This window comes from Homo sapiens, chromosome 16 (genome assembly GCF_000001405.40).
Source record: "Homo sapiens chromosome 16, GRCh38.p14 Primary Assembly".
NCBI classification, from domain to species: Eukaryota; Metazoa; Chordata; class Mammalia; order Primates; family Hominidae; genus Homo; species Homo sapiens.
The window spans coordinates 7,012,542-7,032,961 of NC_000016.10; the positions used below are offsets into that span (position 1 = coordinate 7,012,542).

A 20,420-nucleotide genomic window follows, 5' to 3' on the forward strand; every position below is an offset into this window, starting at 1 on the left:
CTTATTTCTGGTTTCCTTTCTCTCTTGTACAGTGTGATTTTTAAATGCTGCTAACAAAACATTGGAACAGAATTGTGCTCCAGAAAAAAATGAGATCCAACAGACCTTTCTTTATTATGGGACAATTAATTTTAAGCTGACTTTATCAGCAAAGGGAGGCCAGAGTGACTTGCTTTGTAATTGTTGGGAAGCTGTGCACACTGGATTAGAGGAGAAGTAATGTTTCCTTTCAAGTTTTGACCCATTTTAACAAACTGATATCTTAGTGTGTTCAGGCTGCCATAACAAAATGCCGTAGACTGGGTGGCTTGAACAAGAGCTATTTATTTTCCCATAGCTGGGGAGGCTGGAAGTTCAAGATCAGGGTGCCAAGATGGTCAGGTCCTGGTGGAGGCTCTCTTTGTGGTTGGCAGATGGCCACCTTCTCAATGTGTCTTCAGTGGCGTTTCCTCAGTGTGTACAGGTGGAGAGAGAGAGAAAGCAAGCCCTCTCTTTCTCTCCTTTTAAGGGCAGTAATCCCCTTATGAGGATCTTACTTTTATGATGTTATCTTCTCAAAAGTCCCATCTCCAAATGTCTTTAGACTGAGGGTTAGGGATTTCACATACAAATTTGTGGTGTAATGCTCTGATACTCATTGGCTTTGTGACTGAGATTGAGCCATTTAGTTCTCTAAGCATCCTTTCTTTGGTGAAAAAATGCTTGTAGTCCCTACTCACATAGGACTGCTGAGGTAATTCAATGAAGTAAGGTATGCTAGGAGCTTAACTCAGTGTTCTGCTCATGTTATACGTGCAATAAACATAAACCAGTCCCTCTCACTTGAAGGAAAAATTGCCCACTTTCTGACCCAGAGAACATGTGACAATGTCTGGAGACATGTTTGGTTGCTACGACTGGGAAGAGGATGCTACTCGCATCTAGCAGATGGAGTGAAGGCATGCCTCTAAATATCCTGCATTACACAGGACAGTCCCCAAAGCAAAGAATTGTCTGTATCAAAATGTTAGCAGTGCTGATGTTGAGAAACTCTGGTATAACCTATCATTGCAACACAACTACTAATGTTATATTACCTGGAATCAGGGAGGAGGGAGGATGCCATTAACAAATTATATAAAGTCTGTTTTTTAAGAGAGACTGTTTTTCTCTGTTGCCCAGGCTGGAGTGCACTGGCACAATCACTGCTCACTGCAGCCTCAAACTCCCAGGCTCAAGCAATCCTCTTATCTTAGCCTCCCAAGGAGGTGGAACTACAGGTGTGCACCAACATGCCCAGTTAATTTTTTAAAAACTTGTAGAAATGGGGTCTCACCATGTTACCCAGGTCATTCTTGAGCTCTTGATCTCCAAAAATCTTCCTGCCTCAGCCTCCCAAAGGGCTGGGATTACAGATTTGAGCCACGGCGCTTGGCTAAAATGCTATATACTCTATTCCGTACGTCAGTATTCTCACTAAAAGAAGGAAGAGTAGGTTTCAAGGAACTTGAGGATGAAATATGTAACAGTATTCACTCAGTATATTAAAAATAAATACACAATGTCATTGGAATGGCCGATTTATTGGGACAGGCAATTGTGTATGCAGAATAAATGCTCAAAAAGAACTGTCCAAGGTGCTGAAACTTTGACAAATGAAAATAACCTGTTCAAAATGATGTGTAAACTGAAGGTTTTGTTTGTTTTTGAAGTGGAGTCTCGCTCTGTCGCCCAGGCTGGAGTGTGCAGTGGCATGATTTTGGCTCACTACAATGTTAGCCTCCTGGGTTCAAGCAATCCTCCCACGTCAGCCTCCCTAGTAGCCAGGATTACAGTCATGCATCACCACGCCTGGCTTTTTTTTATTTTTATTTTTTTGTTTTTATTTTATTTTATTTTTTTTTAAAGTAGGGGTGGGGTTTTACCATGTTGGCCAGGCTGATCTCGAACTCCTGACCTCAGGTGATCCACTCTCCTCCCACAGTGCTAGGATTACAGTGATAAGCCTCCCAAAGTGCTAGAATTACAGGAGTGAGACACTGCACCCCGTCTTAAACTGAATTTTAAAGGGGATAACTGTCTTTGCAAAAATACATTTAAAAGGTTGGGAAAATATATTTTGGATTTGATTCTCAGTCTTTCAAGGTAATGGGAATGGAATCTTGAGTGAGAGAGAGTGGATGATAAACTAGAAGCCAAGTTCTTTACCAGGTTGTTTTTTCGAGATGGAGTCTCGCTCTGTCACCCAGGCTGGAGTGCAGTGGCACTGTCTCGGCTCACTGCAACCTCCGTCTCCAGGATTCAAGCACTTCTCCTGCATTAGCCTCCTGAGTAGCTGAGATTACAGGCATGTGCCACCACACCCGGCTAATTTTTTTGTATTTTTACTAGAGGCACTTTTGAACATATTGGCCAGGCTGGTCTCAAACTGCTGACGTTGTGATATACCCGCCTGGACCTCCCAAAGGGCTGGAATTACAGGTGTGAGCCACCGTGCTTAGCTTCTTTACCAGGTTCTATGCTTCCTGAATGCAGGGATTCTGTTTATCTTTTTCTTGCATTATGGAATAGCATAAACTTGGGGTCTGAGACAGAGTTAAGGGTCAGTTCATGTTCTCTTTTTCCTTTCTTCTTAGTCACTCTCAGTAGTCTGGATTTGTTGTGGTGACAGCAGCAGATGCATCCAGTGGCATTGTGAAGGCATTAGTATCATTATAGGCGCTGAGGCTATGGGTGAGCATATGGCCTGGGACTGCAAATCAGAAACTGCTCGCATTCCTGGGATTGTTCTTCTAGACTATGGAGTAGATCTGGAGCTTGGCTTCTTAGCCTTTTCTGGGCATCAGAACCACCTCAGAGTTGGCAAAAACAAAGAAACTTGAGCCGTATTATAGACTTATGGAATCTGAATCTTCTGGAGTATAAGGCACTGAGCAGGAAGTTTTGCTCATCAGTGTTCAGACAGAGGCTGGGGAGAGGAAAAAGTGTTTTTCCCTTCCCAAATCAAGCATCAATTAATTCTCAGGACTGCTTTGGATAGAAGGTTGTTCACATTATTCTGAGATTTTGGCTTATTTAAGAGCCTATTAGACACCATTTGTGGTTCATCTCCTCTTGTTTAAAAGGCTCTTTTGAGCAAACAAGAAGTATTTGAAATTTTTTTATGACTAGCGGTCTAGTTATTCACATTTCTATTATGTTCCATTCCATTCCCAATAATTCATTTTAATAACATTTTCTTTTTTTTTCTTAAAGATTTTTTTTTTCTGACTAATAACATTTTCTGATTTGGGTAGAAAGAAATATTATTCCACAATAAGCAATTGTGAAATACTAAATTTACTTGGCTTTAATTACATCTATAGAGGTAAGCAACGTGTTTCAGGGAAATCTAACTTCTCTTTGAAGGGTAAAGACCCAGTTAATTCATCATTTACCCATTATTTGGTGTGATAGGCAACACCAGTAGTTATTGCTGTGTGGTGATAGGGTTTCTTTCTTGGAAAGACTACACTTCCTAGTCACTCATTGCAGTTAAGTGAGACCATAAGGCTTGTTCTTGCCAATGAATTGTAGGCTTAGTAAAGTTCATCACTTCTGGGACAAAGCATGGAAGAGTGAGACACCACCAGACATGACCATCCCTTGCCGCGGTGAATTTGAAGTCCTTTGTTGAGATCAGGAAATCGCCATCAACATGTATCCCCAAGTAATTATGTGGAACGGGACCTGCCTCATCCCCAAGATCTGTCTCGGACATGTGGTAGATCCTTCTGCCATACTATTCAAACTGAAGACTGGGAGTTAATATGGTGTCATGGTATAAACTAGCCTATAGAGTTGAGTTTTAGAAGAAGCCTTTCGGATACTGAAAACAAGGCACTGAACTTAAATTCTGCAGACTGGATTTAAATCTGGGCTCATGTTTCTCACTTGTTTCGGGACGTAACCTAAGTCACTGAACTGCCGTGATAACAGACACAGCCACAGTGTATTCAGCACACCTATGTGCCAAGCATTGCACACAGCGTTTTGCATATATCATCTCACGTAATTCCTCCAGCCACACTTCCACTTGGGTAGACACGCCTCACTTGGTGGATGTGGAAACAGGCGTGATACACGATGCAAAACCAGAAAGTGGAAATGCTGAACTTGAAGTCACATGTGACTGATGCCTATTCCCGTATTTTTCTTTTTTCTAAAGTGGAGTTGATTAAACTGTCTACTTCACTGGGCCGTTTTAGGATGCTGTGAGCAGGGTAGGTGACAGGACGTGGTTACCCGCCAGGTGAGGTTATTGTGATTTGGTTTCGGCCAGCACTTGCTGCAGAGAACTTAAGACTGTTTCTTTTCTGGCTGTCACTTGACCCTGTGTACCAACCTTGAAATCCCTCACTGGCATTTTGGTAAATTTGTTTCATGTTTTTGTCCCATCAGTAGTAAAGGTTTCACCATTATTTTCATTTCCTGGTTGAGCGACCCTCTTTCTTTCATGACTTTTGGCTTCATCCTTCAGCCTCTTTCTCTTTTTTTATTGTTCCATGTTGCTGTGAGCAGAACTCATTTTTCAAAAGACAGATGGTGGCAACCCTGTTCTCTCTAAATAAAAAAGCAAAACAGCTGTTAAGGTGCAAACAGAGTCGCGGCCAGCAAATCGTATCTGCTTCAAGTGTTGGCGAAGTTTCCCTTCAGGGAATGGGAGCTATCTAAACAAAATGTGCAGCCTCGGCTGTGCTCTGCCAAGGCCCAAGTATAGAATGATGGCAAATAATGGAAATTTATAGTGTACTATAGATCCAGCACCTTTCTATCTTGGCGGGTGCATATTTAAATGCAGTGCTAACGGAGCTGAAATTTATGGCTCTCTAATAACGATAAAATGCCATCAGAGAATGAGATAAATCTTGGCCCCAAACCTTAGCATGCAACGCACACACTGACGCGCGCACACATGCTTGTAAAATATAGCCAGATACTGCTAACTCAGGAGTCTGCGTTTGGAAGAAGCCAACGGAACAGAGAAAGTAGAGGAAGTGTTTTATAGACGACTGCAAATTGTTGTTTTCATGAGGCTGGGGTCAAGGTACATTGTGGCCTCAGGTTGAAATGAGTGTTGCTTTGTCTCATGGCTGATACATGCTTGACCTTGGTGAGGGAAGCTTTTCCTTTTCTAGATGTTCAATAGCTTTTCTCTTCACGTTTTCACAACCCTGTGACAGGCCAACTTCCAAACAAACACTGATGAATTATCACCCTCTGGGAAAAGAACATCGTGGTGTGCTTAAGCGTTTTCTTCTGTTTGTTTATTTATTTATTTGTGCATTCATTCATTCAGAGAGAATTGGAGTCTTCGAGGCTTAGCAACAACAGAGAGATGAAAGACATTTACCAAAATGCTATATTTGCAAACTGTCGGCGACGTGTGAATTAGGTGTGCCCCCTTTCTCTACGGGCAGTTGTGGTCTTCAGGGAATGGAATTTTACAAAATATCATTTAGGAGGTTGTCATTCACGTTTGAAAACAGGCGTGGCCAGCTCCTCCAGCCAACCTGCATGTACACCCAGCTGTTTTCTCTCTGTGGAGCATCTAGGTCTTAGGAAGGGAAGCCCATCTGGAAATCTGTCTTAAGCCCTTGCTGAATTTCCACGAGCCGTGCATTCGTGGATCCTGCAAGTTAGTAACTACCTGAAGAAGGGGGCATTCTCTACTGGCTTGCATTCTAGGTGTTTCCTCCAGCTTCTCCTTATGCAAGGGGACTTCTAATATTTTGGGCGAGATGTTTAGTTTCAGTGAGAAGCCTAACCTCCGGGAGTTGTTTCAGGCCACCTCCATTAAGAGTTAGATACTTCTTTCTAGATGCTTCTTTATGCATAATTGTGTGTGCGTGGGTGTTCATGAATATTGTCTTAATTGCTCCTGTTTTTGAAATACAACGTCTAATCCAGTCTATCATTGATGGACATTTGGATTGGTTCCATGTCTTTGCTATTGTGATTAGTGCCGCAGTAAACATACATGTGCATGTGTCCTTATAGCAGCATAATTTATAATCCTTTGGGTATTTACCCAGTAATGGGATGACTGGGTCAAATGTTATTTCTAGTTCTAGATCCTTGAGGAATTGCCACACTGTGTTCCACAACATTAGGAGATATACCTAATGTAAATGACATGTTAATGGGTGCAGCACACCAACATGGCACCTGTATACACATGTAACAAACCTGCACGTTGTGCACATGTACCCTATACCTTAAAGTATTAAAAAAAAAAAAGAAGAAATACAACGTCTACAGATTAAAACCCACTCTAGGCCAGGTGCAGTGGCTGACGACTGTAATCTCAGCACATTGGGAGGCCAAAGTGGGAGGATCTCTTGAGCTCAGGAGTTCAAGACCAGCCTGGGCAACACAGTGAGACCTCGTCTCTACAAAAAAATTAAAAAGCAATAAATAAATAAATAAGCAAAGAAGAAGCAAAAAGAAAGCGTTCTTGTTCAGAACTGAAAAAAACTGTTCCTGGTTTCCTAGTTTTTAGAAGTGTGTGTGTGTGAGTGTGTGTATGTCTGTGTGTGTATGTGTAAAGACTGAGAGGTAATGATACTGATTGAGTTGAAAATAACCATTCCTTTGTAATATTTCTAAAATTTTTTAGGACACTAAATTATTTTATATAAAATTATATAATATTAGGTGGTTTGGTGTGTTTGCCTTGTTTAGGTTTTGTTAGGTTGGTGCTTGAGAAAAAAACAGGTAGATTTGGAAAATGCTGATGTTTAGGATGAAAAGGGATCCAATTTTTCATATAAAATGAATTCTTTGGAGTAAGACCTTTTAGCTGAGATTCATGGACTTCATGAAAGTATGTGTGTGTTTGTGTGAGTGGGAGAGAGAGAGTGGGAGAGTGCATTCATGCTGTTGTAGGTTTTGCTAAGAGATTTTGTACTTTTTGTTAAGTTGTCAAAAGCTCTCTTGTCTGAACCCCTGAGCCCATGGTCCTCTCTCTCCTCTTGTTTGTGCTGTGGATTTGCAGTTACTTTACAGTTCGAATGAATGATCTGTTCTGTGAATACGTAGTTTCATTTTACAGTTAGAATGATGTGATCAGGGCTGTGATTCCTAGGCTAGGCCATTACTGGGAAAGGTGTGACTTGGACCAGAAAAAAAGTAAGGAAGTGAATCTCATGCTAAAGAGAACAAGCTTGGTTTCAAACACTGCATGTTTATGGGCTTTGCCCACCAGGTTTAGCTTGTACAAGGAAATACCCACGCCCCAATTCCCATTAATCCTGAACATATGATTCTCTCTAGCTGTTCCACACCTCCCAATCTGTGGTCCAGCAATACTGACATTTTTGCGTGTGTTCCAACTAAACCCTGCTCTCTTTTACCTCCCAGCCTTTCCACATTTTGTTCTCTCCACCTGAAACTATATTCCCTTTCTTCTGGCTCTCTCTTTTTTTTTTTTTTCTCTGATGAAGTGCTGCTACCCTCAGGAAGGCGTCTGTAGTGTTTTCTAGATCAGCTTAGGTGAACCTTTCATGTCTTCCTGTAGCCTCCCCACTTCCATTGTCAAGGTATTTACTACAATTGTCATGTCTCAGGCCAGGTGCGGCGTACCCGGGGACTCTTTTATGCCATCTTTATACCTCTGTGTAAATCTAAAATATTTTCTTTTTTTTCTTTGTTTCTTTGTTTCTTTCTTTATTTCCTCTTTTTTTAGACAGAATCTTGCCCTGTTACCCAGGCTGGAGTGCAGAGGCACAGTCTTGGCTCACTGCAACCTCTGTCCGCCAGGTTCAAGTGATTCTCCTGCCTCAGCCTACGGAGTAGCTGGGATTACAGGCTGCCATGCCCAGCTACTTTTTTGTAGTTTTAGTAGAGATGAGGTTTCACCATGCTGGTGAGGCTGGTCTTGAACTCCTGATCTTGTCATCCACCTGCCTCAACCTCCCAAAGTGCTGGGATTTCAGGCGTCAGCCACCGCGCCCAGCCAATCTAAAATATTTTCAAAATATAATGTTTATGAAAATTAAATAAAATAAGGAATCTAGGTCAATATCTGTGTTTTATCAAAGCAACCAGAAGATCAGACATGTCCACATAAAGAGTGATGAACTTGTATTAACAGAAAAGGAAATGACATTGGACACTGTCTGTGTCATCACACTGCAGAGGGAAGAGGAAGAGGAGGAGGGAAATGTCCTTCCCTCTGAGAACCATGAGCTCAGTGAAATCCCTGCATTCCCACCCACATCCTTAATGTTCCCAGTATCCACCACCCTGACCGGCTTAAGTGAGCACTTAAGAATTTTTCTCGAGGCCAGTCTTGAAGGCTCATGCCTGTAATCCCAGAACTTTGCGATGCTAAGACAGGCAAATCGCTTGAGGCCAGGAGTTCTAGACCAGCATGGCCAACATGGTGAAATCCTGTCTCTACTTAAAAATACAAAAATTAGTTGGGCATAGTGGCAGGCATCTGTAATCCCAGCTACTGGGGAGGCTGAGGCAGGAGAATCGGTTGAACCTGGGAGGCAGAGGCTGCAGTGAGCCCAGGTCGTGCTACTGCACTCCAGCATGAGTGAGAGAGCAAGACTCTTTTTCAAAAAAATTGTTTTTTGTTGAATAAATGAATAAACGAAGCATCACAGGACAAGGGAAACTTGTCTCTTCTCAGTTAGTTGCTGAGTAAATTGTTGTTTCTTATGTGTTGCGTCGGCCCCCACCTCATTTGGTTACTACTTGAGTCCTCTTGGTTTCATTTTATTTTCTCTCTCTCTCTATATATATATATTTACTTTTTAATATTTAAAAACATTTTTGAATATTTTAGTATTTATGTTCTTATATATTTTAAAATATTTTTATTTTTAAATTTGTTTTATGTATGTTTTTTATATATTTGTATATATGTTTTATATATCAGTATTAATTTTTAATATAATTTATATTGTATATATTTTATATTAATATTTTATATAAATATTATATTTTATAAAATTTATAAAATTTTATAAAATTTTTATATTTATAAAATATATTATATTTTATAAAATATATAAAAGTAAAATATTTTATTTTTTATAAAATATAATATTTTATAAATTATATAAAAATTTTATTAAAATTTTTATTTCCCTCAGCCTATTTGCACAGACTGGATTAAGTGTCCATCATAGTATTTACCAAGCTTTTTGCACATAACAAAAATGACCCTAAAAACAAGAGTAACAGTTTTTATTTATTGAGCATGTACTATATACCAGGCATGCTTGAAAAGCCTTTATAGATTTATTTCTAATTCTTGAAGGTAGTTGGTATTATCTTCATTCTAAATTGCCAGAACCTTCTTTCTCTCTCTTTCTTTCTTTCTTTTCTTTCTTTCTTTCTTTTCTTTCTTTCTTTATTTTCTTTTCTTTCTTTCTTTTCTTTCTCTCTCTCTCTCCCTCCCCTTCCCCCTCCCCTTCCCCCTCCCCCTCTCCCTCCCCTTCCCTTCCCCCTCCCCTTCCCCTCCCCTTCCCCCTCCCCTTCCCCCTCCCCTTTCCTTTCCTTTCCTTTCCACAGGGTCTCACTGTGTCACCCAGATTGGAGTGTGGTGGAGCAATCTCCACTCACTGCAACCTCTGCCTCCTGGGTTATAAATGATCCTCCCACCTCAGCCTCCTGAGTAGCTGGGACTACAGACACACCCCTAATTTTTGTATTCTTTGGTAGAGACGGGATTTCACCATGTTGGCCAGGTTCGTCTTGAACTCAAGACATTAAGTGATCCACCCACCTCAGCCTCCCAAAGTGCTGGGATTGCAGGCATGAACCACCACTGCACCTGGCCGTGAACCCCATATTCTTAAAGATGGTAGAGCTGGGATTCGAAGTCAGGTCTGCTTAAACCCAGAGCATATCTTCATGCCCCACATTTCCCTCTGTCTCTCTGAGTTTATGGAGTTGGTTAGAAATGTCGTATTTCTTTTTCTTTCTTTATACTCCAGATTCCCTGTGAGGTCAGGAACTAGGCCTTTTTCATGATAACCCTAGTGAAGATCCTAATTTTGAAAACTTATCTAATATTTATTGGGAAGCTGTTGTGAGCCAAGCACTGCAGTAGGCTCTGGATATATTAGGCCCATCCCCGTATAGAGCTGACATGTAGCAGATGAAAGCAGAAAAAGAGAAAAAAAGGTAAGTAGGCAAAATGAGGAAAAACGAAGTCTTAGTATGGGCCAAACAGTTTCCTAATGTTTGGTATATTAGCTCATTTTATCCATGAGACAAGTTCTATTCTTATTGACCTGATTTTATATCCAAGGAAGCTGAGGGGCAGAGAATTTGAACAACTGCCTCCAATGTTCACACAGCTAGAATGCTGCAGAACTAGGGCTTGCACCCCATTGTCTCACTCTTGAGTCTTCATTCTTTATCACTAAATAGACACAGCCAGGAAGGAGGCAGAATGGGCAGTGAAATGCTTTTGCAGAAGTTGGCATTTAATGTGAAGGTTGAAAAATAAGAAGGAATGACCATTTGAAGTGTAGAGATAAGAGAATCCTATGCAAAAAGCCCAGCCAGTGCAAAGGCACTGAGGTAGGAGAGAGCTGAGTAAATTCAAAGAAAATAAAACACATAGTGGGAGGCTGCAGAAGGAGGGAGGTAATGACCATTATGAAATGAATGGGCTGGGCATGGTAGCTCATGACTATAATCCTATCACTTTGGGAGGCCAAGGCGGGTGGATTGCCTGAGGTCAGGAGTCCAAGACCAGACCGCATCTCTACTAAAAATACAAAAAGTTAGCTGGGAGTGGTGGTGCATGCCTGTAATCCCAGCTACTTGGGAGGCTGAGACAGGAGAATTGCTTGAACCCAGGAGGCAGAGGTTGCAGTGAGCCGAGATCATGTCATTGAATTCTAGCCTGGATGACAGAGTGAGACTCCATCTCAAAAAAAAAAAGAGAGAAATGAATGATGGGCTTGAGTTGGGTGGAGCACTTGATGCCAGGGCTTTAAGAACAGCCTGGCCAACATGGTGAAACTTCGTCTGTACTAAAAAAAAAAAAAAAAAAAAAAAAAAAAAATTAGCTTGCCATAGTGGTACATGACTATAATTTCAGCACTGGGAAGGCCCCAGTATACCTTGGAACTCCTCTGCCTAGGTTATCTCCCTTGTCTTAAATCAGAGATGGGTGTTACTTACTCTACAGTACACAGAAACAGGTATCACTTATCAATCCCTGTGTTCTTTTCCACTTAGCTCAAATACAGCCTCGGCATCCTTCTGAACACTCTGGAGTAGGCTGCCATTTTTAATCACCCAGATGTTAAATTTATTCATCATCCCTATATATATTTCCCACAGGATCAAAGTATATCGAGTTTGGAAAGGGAGTTGAAAACAAGGAAGACTCCCTGCTTTTGATTCCCATGAGGGCAATAGCTGTCACTCTCCTAGGGGATGTTTTGATAAGACAGCCACTTAGGTTTCTATATCCTCCTGATAACCGTATGTTGAAAAAGGATTTAAGAGGAAGGTCATAAAACCAGGGATTTCTTAACAGCAGGGTGTGGCTTGGCTTACTAAGAATATACTTGTGATGCATTTTAATGACATGCTTTATGTTATCATATTAAAGATTGTAAAAGCATCTAGTAATCATTTAATAAATATTAATGAAGCATTTACAAATTGCACCTTAATTTACAGCATTGGCACTCATATCGTGCTCTGGACATGAATGCACAGAGACATGGTGGCTTTGACAAAGACTACCATGGAGAGCCTGGTTCTGTGACATTGTGCCATCCTGGTACCATAAGTGATTTTTTAAAATAATAATTCTTGGAGGGCAGTTGAGTGCAATGAAGCTTGATGCCTAAAGCAGTTTTAGCAATTATTTTTCTGTTTGGGGAACATTAAAACATAATCTACCATGAATTTATAATCCATAGCTTCTCTCTCATGCACTTCTTAATAATAAGCAGTAGTTATAGGCCCTTGTGCAAAAATTCTTTGTAGATGTTAGGAGATACTTCCTCATTGTGTAAACACTGGGGCAGGTAAGGGATATATTGCAAGCGATAACTGTGGGGTCGCCACTCCCCTGCCACCATCTTTGTTTGATGCTTAGGGAGATCTCCTGTTCTTTGCAGGCACTTAGATACGAATGGAGGAGCCCCAGGCACAAATTCCTCAGCACTCTGTCCTGCTCTTGTTGCTGGACTTGATTGTCTTTCAGACAGTGCATTCAATGTTGAGTTCAGAGCCATTCCCTGCAATTCCCTCTGGACCCTGTTGGATGTTAACCACGATGGTTCTCACACGGGGCTGGGTGTCACGTGGCTCACAGAAAACTACAGATGGAAGGGCCTTAGAAGTCACCTGCTGCACTCCTCACTTTATAGAGGAGGACACTGAGGCCCAGAGAGGAACAGGACATTCACAGGCCACACACCAGGCAAGAAGCAGAGATGAAACTGTTACAGGCAAGGGGCTGGATCCCGACCCCAAGAGAGCGTTCTCAGATCTCCCGCAAGACAAGAGTTGAGGGCGTGTCTGTAGAGTGAAGCGAAAGTATGTTTATTAAGAATGTAGAGGAATAAAAGAATGTCCACTCCATAGACAGAACAGCCCTGAAGGCTGCTGCCTGCCCATTTTTATGGTTATTTCTTGATGATATGCTAAACAAGGGGTGAATTACTCATGTCTCCCCTTTTTAGACCATATAGGGTAACTCTGTGATGTTGCCATGGTGTTTGGAAACTATCATGGCGCTCGTGAGTATAGCAGTGAGGACGACCAGAGGTCCCTCTCAGGGCCATCTGGGTTTTGATGGGTTTTGGCTGGCTTCTTTACTGCAAACTGTTTTTATCAGCAAGGTCCTTATGACCTGTATTTTGTGCTGACCTCCTATTTTATCGTATGACTTAGAATGCCTAACCTTCTGGGAATGCATCCTAGTAGGTCTCAGCCTTGTTGTACCCAGCCCCTATGGAAGATGGAGTTGCTCTGGTTCAAACACCTCTGACAAAACCGGATCCCAAGACATAAGATTGTGCAGTGTGCATTTGCATGCTTCTCAGCCTCAGAGCTAAGGAGACCTGGGCATGTCCTGGGGGGGTTTTGGATAGAGGGGGGCACCTCTTCATCAGGGGTGCTGGAGAAGGCCTGGCCTGGCCTCTGGAGCCTGCCGCACTGCCAGTCAGGACATCCTAGCTGAGCAGGAGCCATGGGCGTCCCGGGGAATCCTAGGTACTGAGAGGAGATGGCCAGCAGATGGCGCTGCAGGGATTCAAACTGGAGCAGCCATATCTGACAGCAACCCCAGGTCAGGGATTCAAAGCTCCAGCAACCAGGATGAGCTGCTTAATAGTACAGGCCTGGACTTCAGGGATGCCTAGACCCCTCTCGGGAGCTCCCACCTGGCCTGGAAAGAGAGCCAGGTCTAGAATGGGCTGGTGCAGGTATCTGTAGACTGGTCATACTGGGTTTGGGATCAGACCCCAGACCAAGAAGGAACAAAGGGAAAACAAAAGGACTAGCGCAGCTGCTGTGTCCAGGCTGGGGTGCTTGCTATGTGGGCAGGACTATGGTCACAGGCCAGGGTGGAAATGGCAGCCAGAAGGCCTCCCTCTGCGTGGGGTCTCCCTTAAACCCAACTTCTTGGGGCCTACTCTGAGGACATCAAGACCGTCTCTTCTAGGAAGGCAAGAGGCCAACACCCATGAAGCTGCTGTTTTTCCTTTCCTGCTCCTGACTTGGAGGCGTGGAGATTGCCACCAGGCCATGTTTAATGTCTTTTAATTAACGGTTTAACTCGGGTATCCATGATGCAAGGGTTTTGCAAAGGAATTCAATCTAGTTTTCAAAATTGCAGAATTAAGTGGGTAAAGAACAGTTGAGGGCAGCACTTACATTTCTGAATATTTAGACTCTTTTTTTCTTCTTCTTTCATTTTTTTCACACTTCCAATCTGCCTCTTTTCTTCTTCTCTCTGTTTCTATCTCTCTCACACACATACACAATCACAGCTGCTTCATACGGCTTCTCCCCGTCCCCTCTCCTGGCAGCTGTGGCGTTTCTGCACAGAGGTGCAGGGAAGGAGGAAAGGCCTTGGGTCCCCTGGTCAGGATCCAGCTGAAACAACCAGAAATACTGTCCCTGTACCTCTCAGGTCGGGTGACTTACTGTGCCTCTGAACCCTCTTTCTTCCATACCTCCCCTACCCAATTCCGAGGCCTCAACTTTGTGCTGCCAGAGGGCACTATGCCACCTTTAAATGAGATTTAGAAAAAGTTTACACATGGCACCTGCTGATCTGGACATTCCAGTCGGCTTGCTGTATCTCCTAGTTGCAAGGGAGGGCTTTGCTTAGAGCAGCCTGTGCCCCGTAGGGTAATACCGGAGCTGGCGGCCTCCCAGGAAGGCTGCAAAGTGCTTGGGTGCTTTGCCCTCTCTGAAGCATACATCAGCACCCCTAAGGTTTAGCTGTGCTGCAGCCACAGCCCACACACTCCTCCATTCTCCCTGAACAATAGGACCCTTGCTGAGATAGTCTGGTAGGAGAGGGGAGGCTCTTTCCTGAACCCGTCTCTCCTAAACGCTTTCTATGCCTTAGAGTGCTAAGAACAGTCTACCCTCCTTACGAGACTGAGTGTTTCCTGAAGGCAGGAGCTGTATCTTATTGAACTCTCCAGCGCACAGAAAAAACTCATAAATATTTGTTCAACTAATAAACAAGTAAATGAATAGAGAGGATGAATAATCTTTTAGGGTAAGTTAATTACATCTATTTTATTTAAAATGCATTATAGAATTTTGTCTCTGTGCCAGGAACTGCTTAAAGTATTTTTTAGATATAATCTCATAGATGCCTAACAAAAACCCTGTAAGTTAGACACCCTTAACATCTCCTTTTTTCAGGTGGAATAGGAGAGGTACAGATTGGGTAGGTAACTTGCCCAAGGTCAGGCAGAGCCAGGATTCAAACTCAAGCAGTCTGGCTTCAGGGCTTTTTTTTCTAAATCACTCCCTGTGGTTTCTCTTAGTCTTAGACCAAGACTAATGTACTTAGAAATACCCAGCCAGGGAACAAGAATGCATAGAATTTAATCCCCCAAGCCCAACTTTCATTATTCAGCTTTCAAAAGACATGGCAGGGAAGGTTTCCAGACAGAAGAGGAATAGTCAGTTTGTTTTTAATTCACCAGTAAAACAAATAGACTTCTTTCCTTTTATATTTGTAACATACAGCTTGCATTTTTTTTTATTTTAAACAAGAAAAGGAAGAAATAAATGAGAAAGAAGGGAAGGAAGGTGGAGGAGGTGGGAGAGAGAAAGGAGAGGGAGGAGAGGGAAACCGGGAGAAAAAAAGAAGGGAGAAGAGAAGGGAGGAAGAAAAGAAGGGAAAAGAGAAGGAAGGAGGGAGAGAAGGGGAAGGAAAAGGAAGGAAGAAACAAGGGTGGAAGGACGAAAGGCAAGAAGGAAGGGAAGAAGGAGAAGGAAAGAAAGGAAGCCTTATTTAATCTCCAGCACAGAAAGTGTTCGCAGCCCTGAGAAACGTGGTTTCTCATTTGCCTGTTACTTGGCACAGTTTGACTGCCTAGAAGCCTGCAGAAATATTGGAAGTCAAGGTCCAATATAATAATTGGCTTACAGATTTGAAGAAGGATAGATAGACTCTTCCATTTCCAAGATTCATTAGTCCAGCTTTCTCCGTAATAGACAGGGCTTGCTCTACGTGTAAGCCATTTTCTAATCAAATTGGCACACAGTTCATGCTCTGACTTGGTATAAATGGGCTTCTGTGAAATTGCTCTGCCTGGGCTCAGGGCTGGAGTTAGATGGGATGGATTTTATCTCTCTGATGCTTGATCATCTTGGGCTCTGCATGGAGGAAACCTGTCTCTACTAAAAATATAAAATTAGCTGGGCGTGGTGGCTCATGCCTGTAATCCCAGCTCCTTGGGAGGCTGAGGCAGGAGAATCGCTTGAACCCGGGAGGCGGAGGTTGCAGTGAGCTGAGGTTGAAGCATTGCACTCCAACCTGGGCAATAAGAGTGAAACTCCCTCACACACACACACACACACACACACAAAAAAAAAAAAAAAAAAAAAAAAAATTGAACCACACATCATTGTGACTTCTATTTGTGAAATGTTCCCAAAGGATATTTGAAAATGTGAACCAACTGTGAATTATTGCAGGACTTGATATGCACAGGAAATGTAATAGGGACGTGGAGGTTCGTAATGTGAGTTTGGAAACCATGGAACATCCAAACATTGGCGATCAACAAAGCCAGCAGTATGTGGACAGCTTATGAGAAAAGGTGTGGGCATCGCTTGGATCTGAGTGGGAATCCAAGCTCTGCCACTCAGCTATGTGTTGCTAGGAAAGTTTGCAAGCATCTATGAAATAATGAAAGTTTAAATGACCATAGCAGCAAGCATGCTGTTTGGAAGACCAATCTCCAGATGAACTTAACTAACGGTTTCTAGTAATGCTAAGCATAAAACAGAAAAAAAAAAGCTATATATATATATATATATATATATATATATATATACACACACACACACACACACACACACACACACACACACACATATACGTATATATATATGTGTATATATGTATATATATACACATATATATACGTATACGTGTATATATACACATATGTATACGTATACGTATATATATACACACATATATATACGTATACGTATATATATACACACATATATATACGTATACGTATATATATACACATATATATATACGTATATGTATATATATATAAAATCAAGAAGAGCCAGAAGAGATTGGAAAGCTCTTTGGCCCTGATAGAAGAAAGCTGATGCGTCACACAGAAGAAACATGAGTCTTCAGTTCTTCTTTTGCTCTTGTCTTCTCTGTCAAGAAAAATCATCTTCAGTCAGGATGGAATAGAGTTTGGTTTAGGTGACAAAGTCAGTGTTGGTGAAGCAGAATGAAGAGAGTGCTAGCTCTTAAGAAATCTAATATTTTACCTGGACTAATATCTCCAAACAGGAGAGTAACTTGGACATGAGATCATTAAGTATCATTGACAATTTGTGGCAAAAAGCAGAAGGGTATGAGATTTGAAATGCGGAAATAGGATATTCTAATTTTCAAAACAGATGAAAGAAGCTGGGAGACTCTATAATTATAGGGTGGTAGCATCTCATGGTGTAACCACTATTAATGGTTCACTTGTTCAATGATTAAAGTCCCATGTGATCTGATCTTCACATGAATCTGGACATTATGAAAAGCATGGCTTGTGGATTTCTTGAAGATGAAAGAATGATAACTTGATTCTTATGTCCATTCATTGGGAATAATGAAGACCCAGCAAATGCCATTTCTTCTCACTAGAATGGGAGATTTGGAGAATGGGGTAGACACATGATGTGTGAATTCCAGCAAGACAGTCAACAAGGACACACTTTTCGGTCACGTGTGTGTGATCCCTTTATGGGAAAAGTGGAGGATGGTGGGATAGATAGTCAGAAAAGTATGTGGGAAAGTAAAACATTATTACAAATTGGTGCCAAAAATTATAATGAGTAGATTGGCCCATAACCCTGGTGGTTTTAATTGTAGTGATGTCATTGAGCTTTGTTCTGAGATATGTCCTGATGGCATTTTTTCTAAATGGTTGGATCATGATAGAGAAGGCTGTTCTTCAGTGACACAGATGGGATGGAGTGGAGTGCCTCTGTTTAATGGAGTCAGGACTTTCATACCCATTTTACAGATGAGGAAATGAGGCATATGAAATGTATTCATTTCCTAGCATTGCCATAAGTTAACGCCAACTGGATGGCTTTAAAACAACAGAAGTTTATTCATTCAAGGTTCTGGAGGCCACAAGTCTGAAATCAAAATGTCAGCAAGGCCAAGTTCCTTCTGAAGGCTCTAGGGTAGAATCCTTCCTTCCTTCTCCCACCTTCCAGTGGCTCCAGGCGTTCCTTGGTTTGTGGCCACATCACTCTAGTCTCTGCCTCTGTCTTCACATGCTATTGTCTTTGTTTCTCTGTGTGTTCTTTGCTATTTCGTATGTGGACACTCCCTTTGGATCTAGGACCTACTCTAATCTACTATGATTTTCTCTTGATCCTTACCTTATTTACATCTGTAAAGACTGTATTTCCAAATAAGGCCACATTCTGAGGTTCTGGGTGGACCTGAATTTGAAGAGACACTATTCAACCCATTATACAAAGTTATGGGGTCTAATTAAGGCCCTCAAATAAGAGGCAGGTCCAGGACTTGACTTCATCCGTGTCTGACTCTAAACCACACATTTTTTCTTTTGTCTTAGGGGAGATAAGGATAGGGAAATGAATCCAATCCTTGTCATTTGACAAAGAGTGGAAGGGAATGTGGGTATTTATCTTGGAAATAAAATGATCAAGAAAGGACATGGGGTGTGTGGAGCAGAATGATCCTGCAGAAAGAGGACCTTTATGACCTAGTTGGTTTGGGATGGGAGATGGTGTATGATGCTGATGCTGCTTCTTCCAAGGAGGGTAGCCAGGGTTGTAAGTAAGACTGTAGACTGGGTGGAGAGGAAGCAACTGCAGGTATGCTGCAGGATAGTGGCTACAGCTTTGCATGTAGAGAGTCAGCAATGCCTTACAGTTAAGAAAATAAAGCTAAGCTTGGCTGCCTGGCCTGGAATCCTGACTCCTCTATTTACTCATGATGTCAACTTTGGCAGGTTGTTTAACCTTTGTGACTACACTGTAGAGATAAAAGCAGTATCATGGCTGGGTGCTATGGCTCATACCTGTAATCTCAGCACTTTGGGAGGCCGAGGCAGGTGGATCACTTGAGGTCAGGATTTCAAGACCAGCCTGGCTAACATGGTGAAACCCCGTCTCTACTAAAAATACAAAAATTAGCTAGGCATGGTGGCACATGCCTGTAGTTCTGGCTACTTGGGAGGCTGAGGCAGGAGAATCACTTGAACCCGTAAGGTGGAGGCTGCAGTGAGCCAAGCCAAGATCATGCCACTGCACTCCAGCCGAGGCAACAGAGTGAGACCCTGCCTAAAAAAAAAAGAAAGAAAAGAAAAGAAAGGCAATGTCAACGACATCGGGCAGATGTGATGAATAATTTTGATGGGATTGGCGAGATAATCCAGTACTTTATAAATGCTACCTATTGTGATTTTTAAAATACTATACTCTGTGCCCTCAAACAACATCCCGTGTTTTACCCACTGCAGAGAAGATGCAGATGGCTTGTGTCTCATGGGGCCTGGCTCACATGTAAGCCAACGTGGTCCTTGCTGGCCTGCTGGACACACAGGGAGCTCCACTACCTTGCCTTCTAACTGATCTCTCCCTGATCAGTATAATTACGGAGGCCCTGCTTTCTTCCAGCAGCCAAATTGTTGGGATGGACTTCCTCGTTATTTGAAGCATTTGTTACTGAAGTTAGTATGGCCTCCTGGCTTTGCTCACATCTGGGAAAGAAAGTCGATTCTCCTTTGTATTTAGTGGCTTGGAAGCTGCCAGCAACTTTCGGATGGCCGTAGTGTCCCCTCTTGAGAATCAGAGAATTTCATTATTATTTTTAAAAATCTTATCTTGGCGGGGTGCGGTGGCCCACACCTGTAATCCCAGTTCTTTGGGAGGCCAAGGCGGGCGGATCGCTTGAGGTCAGGAGTTCGAGACCAGACTGACCAACATGGTGAAACCCCATCTCTACTAAAAAAACAAAAACAAAAACAAAACAAAAAAATTTAGCTGGGTGTGGTGGGAGGAGCCTGTAGTCCTAGCTACTTGGGAGGCTGAGGCACAAGAATTGCTTGAACCCAGGAGGTGGAGGTTGCAGTGAGCTGAGATCCCAGTGCACTCCAATCTGGGCAATAGAGCAAGACTTCATCTCAAAAAACAAACAAATAAATAAATAAATAATAAAAATCCCATCTTAATTTTTTAAAGGAAAAAAATAAAACCTATGGTCATGAGCAAATTACAGATCAGCTAAATCTTATGTGGGAACATCTCCCCATCTACAGCTATTTCTGTTTGTTTGTTTGTTTGTTTGTTTGTTTTGCTAGACGAGTATTTTCCCTCCTCAAGCTAATTGCTTGATGGAATTAAAGACGATAATCTCTAATAATTCCAGTGAACACATGGTTCATTTTCAGGTAGTTTTATCCTCGAATTTCACTTGTTATTTTGTTGTCGGTGGCAAATTTTCCTTTTACCCTCTATGAGACACCCCCGCCTTGGGTCTACCTGAACTAAAAATGCGTTTGGTGTCTCCAGGCTCATGGCATAGCCACTCTGGGAAACTTGTCTAACTTCCAGATTCTCAAATTTCTGCAGCTGAGAGCATGTCTCTCTTTTGGGAAGGAGGCTTTTCCTGGCTGGTGGGAGAACAGCTTCAATTTGGGAGACAG

The 20,420-nt window shown here is 42.2% G+C and overlaps 1 protein-coding gene across 30 annotated transcripts in view, besides 1 other annotated feature; it reads left to right on the plus strand.

The window, feature by feature from the left end:
* Window positions 1–20,420, plus strand: part of RBFOX1 (RNA binding fox-1 homolog 1) — a 2,473,620-nt gene that overhangs the window by 1,772,821 nt on the left and 680,379 nt on the right. The gene's annotated exons all lie outside the window — the stretch shown is intronic.
* Window positions 1,514–1,714: a silencer, noted in NCBI's record as "peak2485 fragment used in MPRA reporter construct". NCBI's record gives its function as "represses an SCP1 promoter by STARR-seq MPRAs in K562 erythroleukemia cells {active_cell/tissue: K562}" and the evidence as "EXISTENCE:reporter gene assay evidence [ECO:0000049][PMID:32103011]".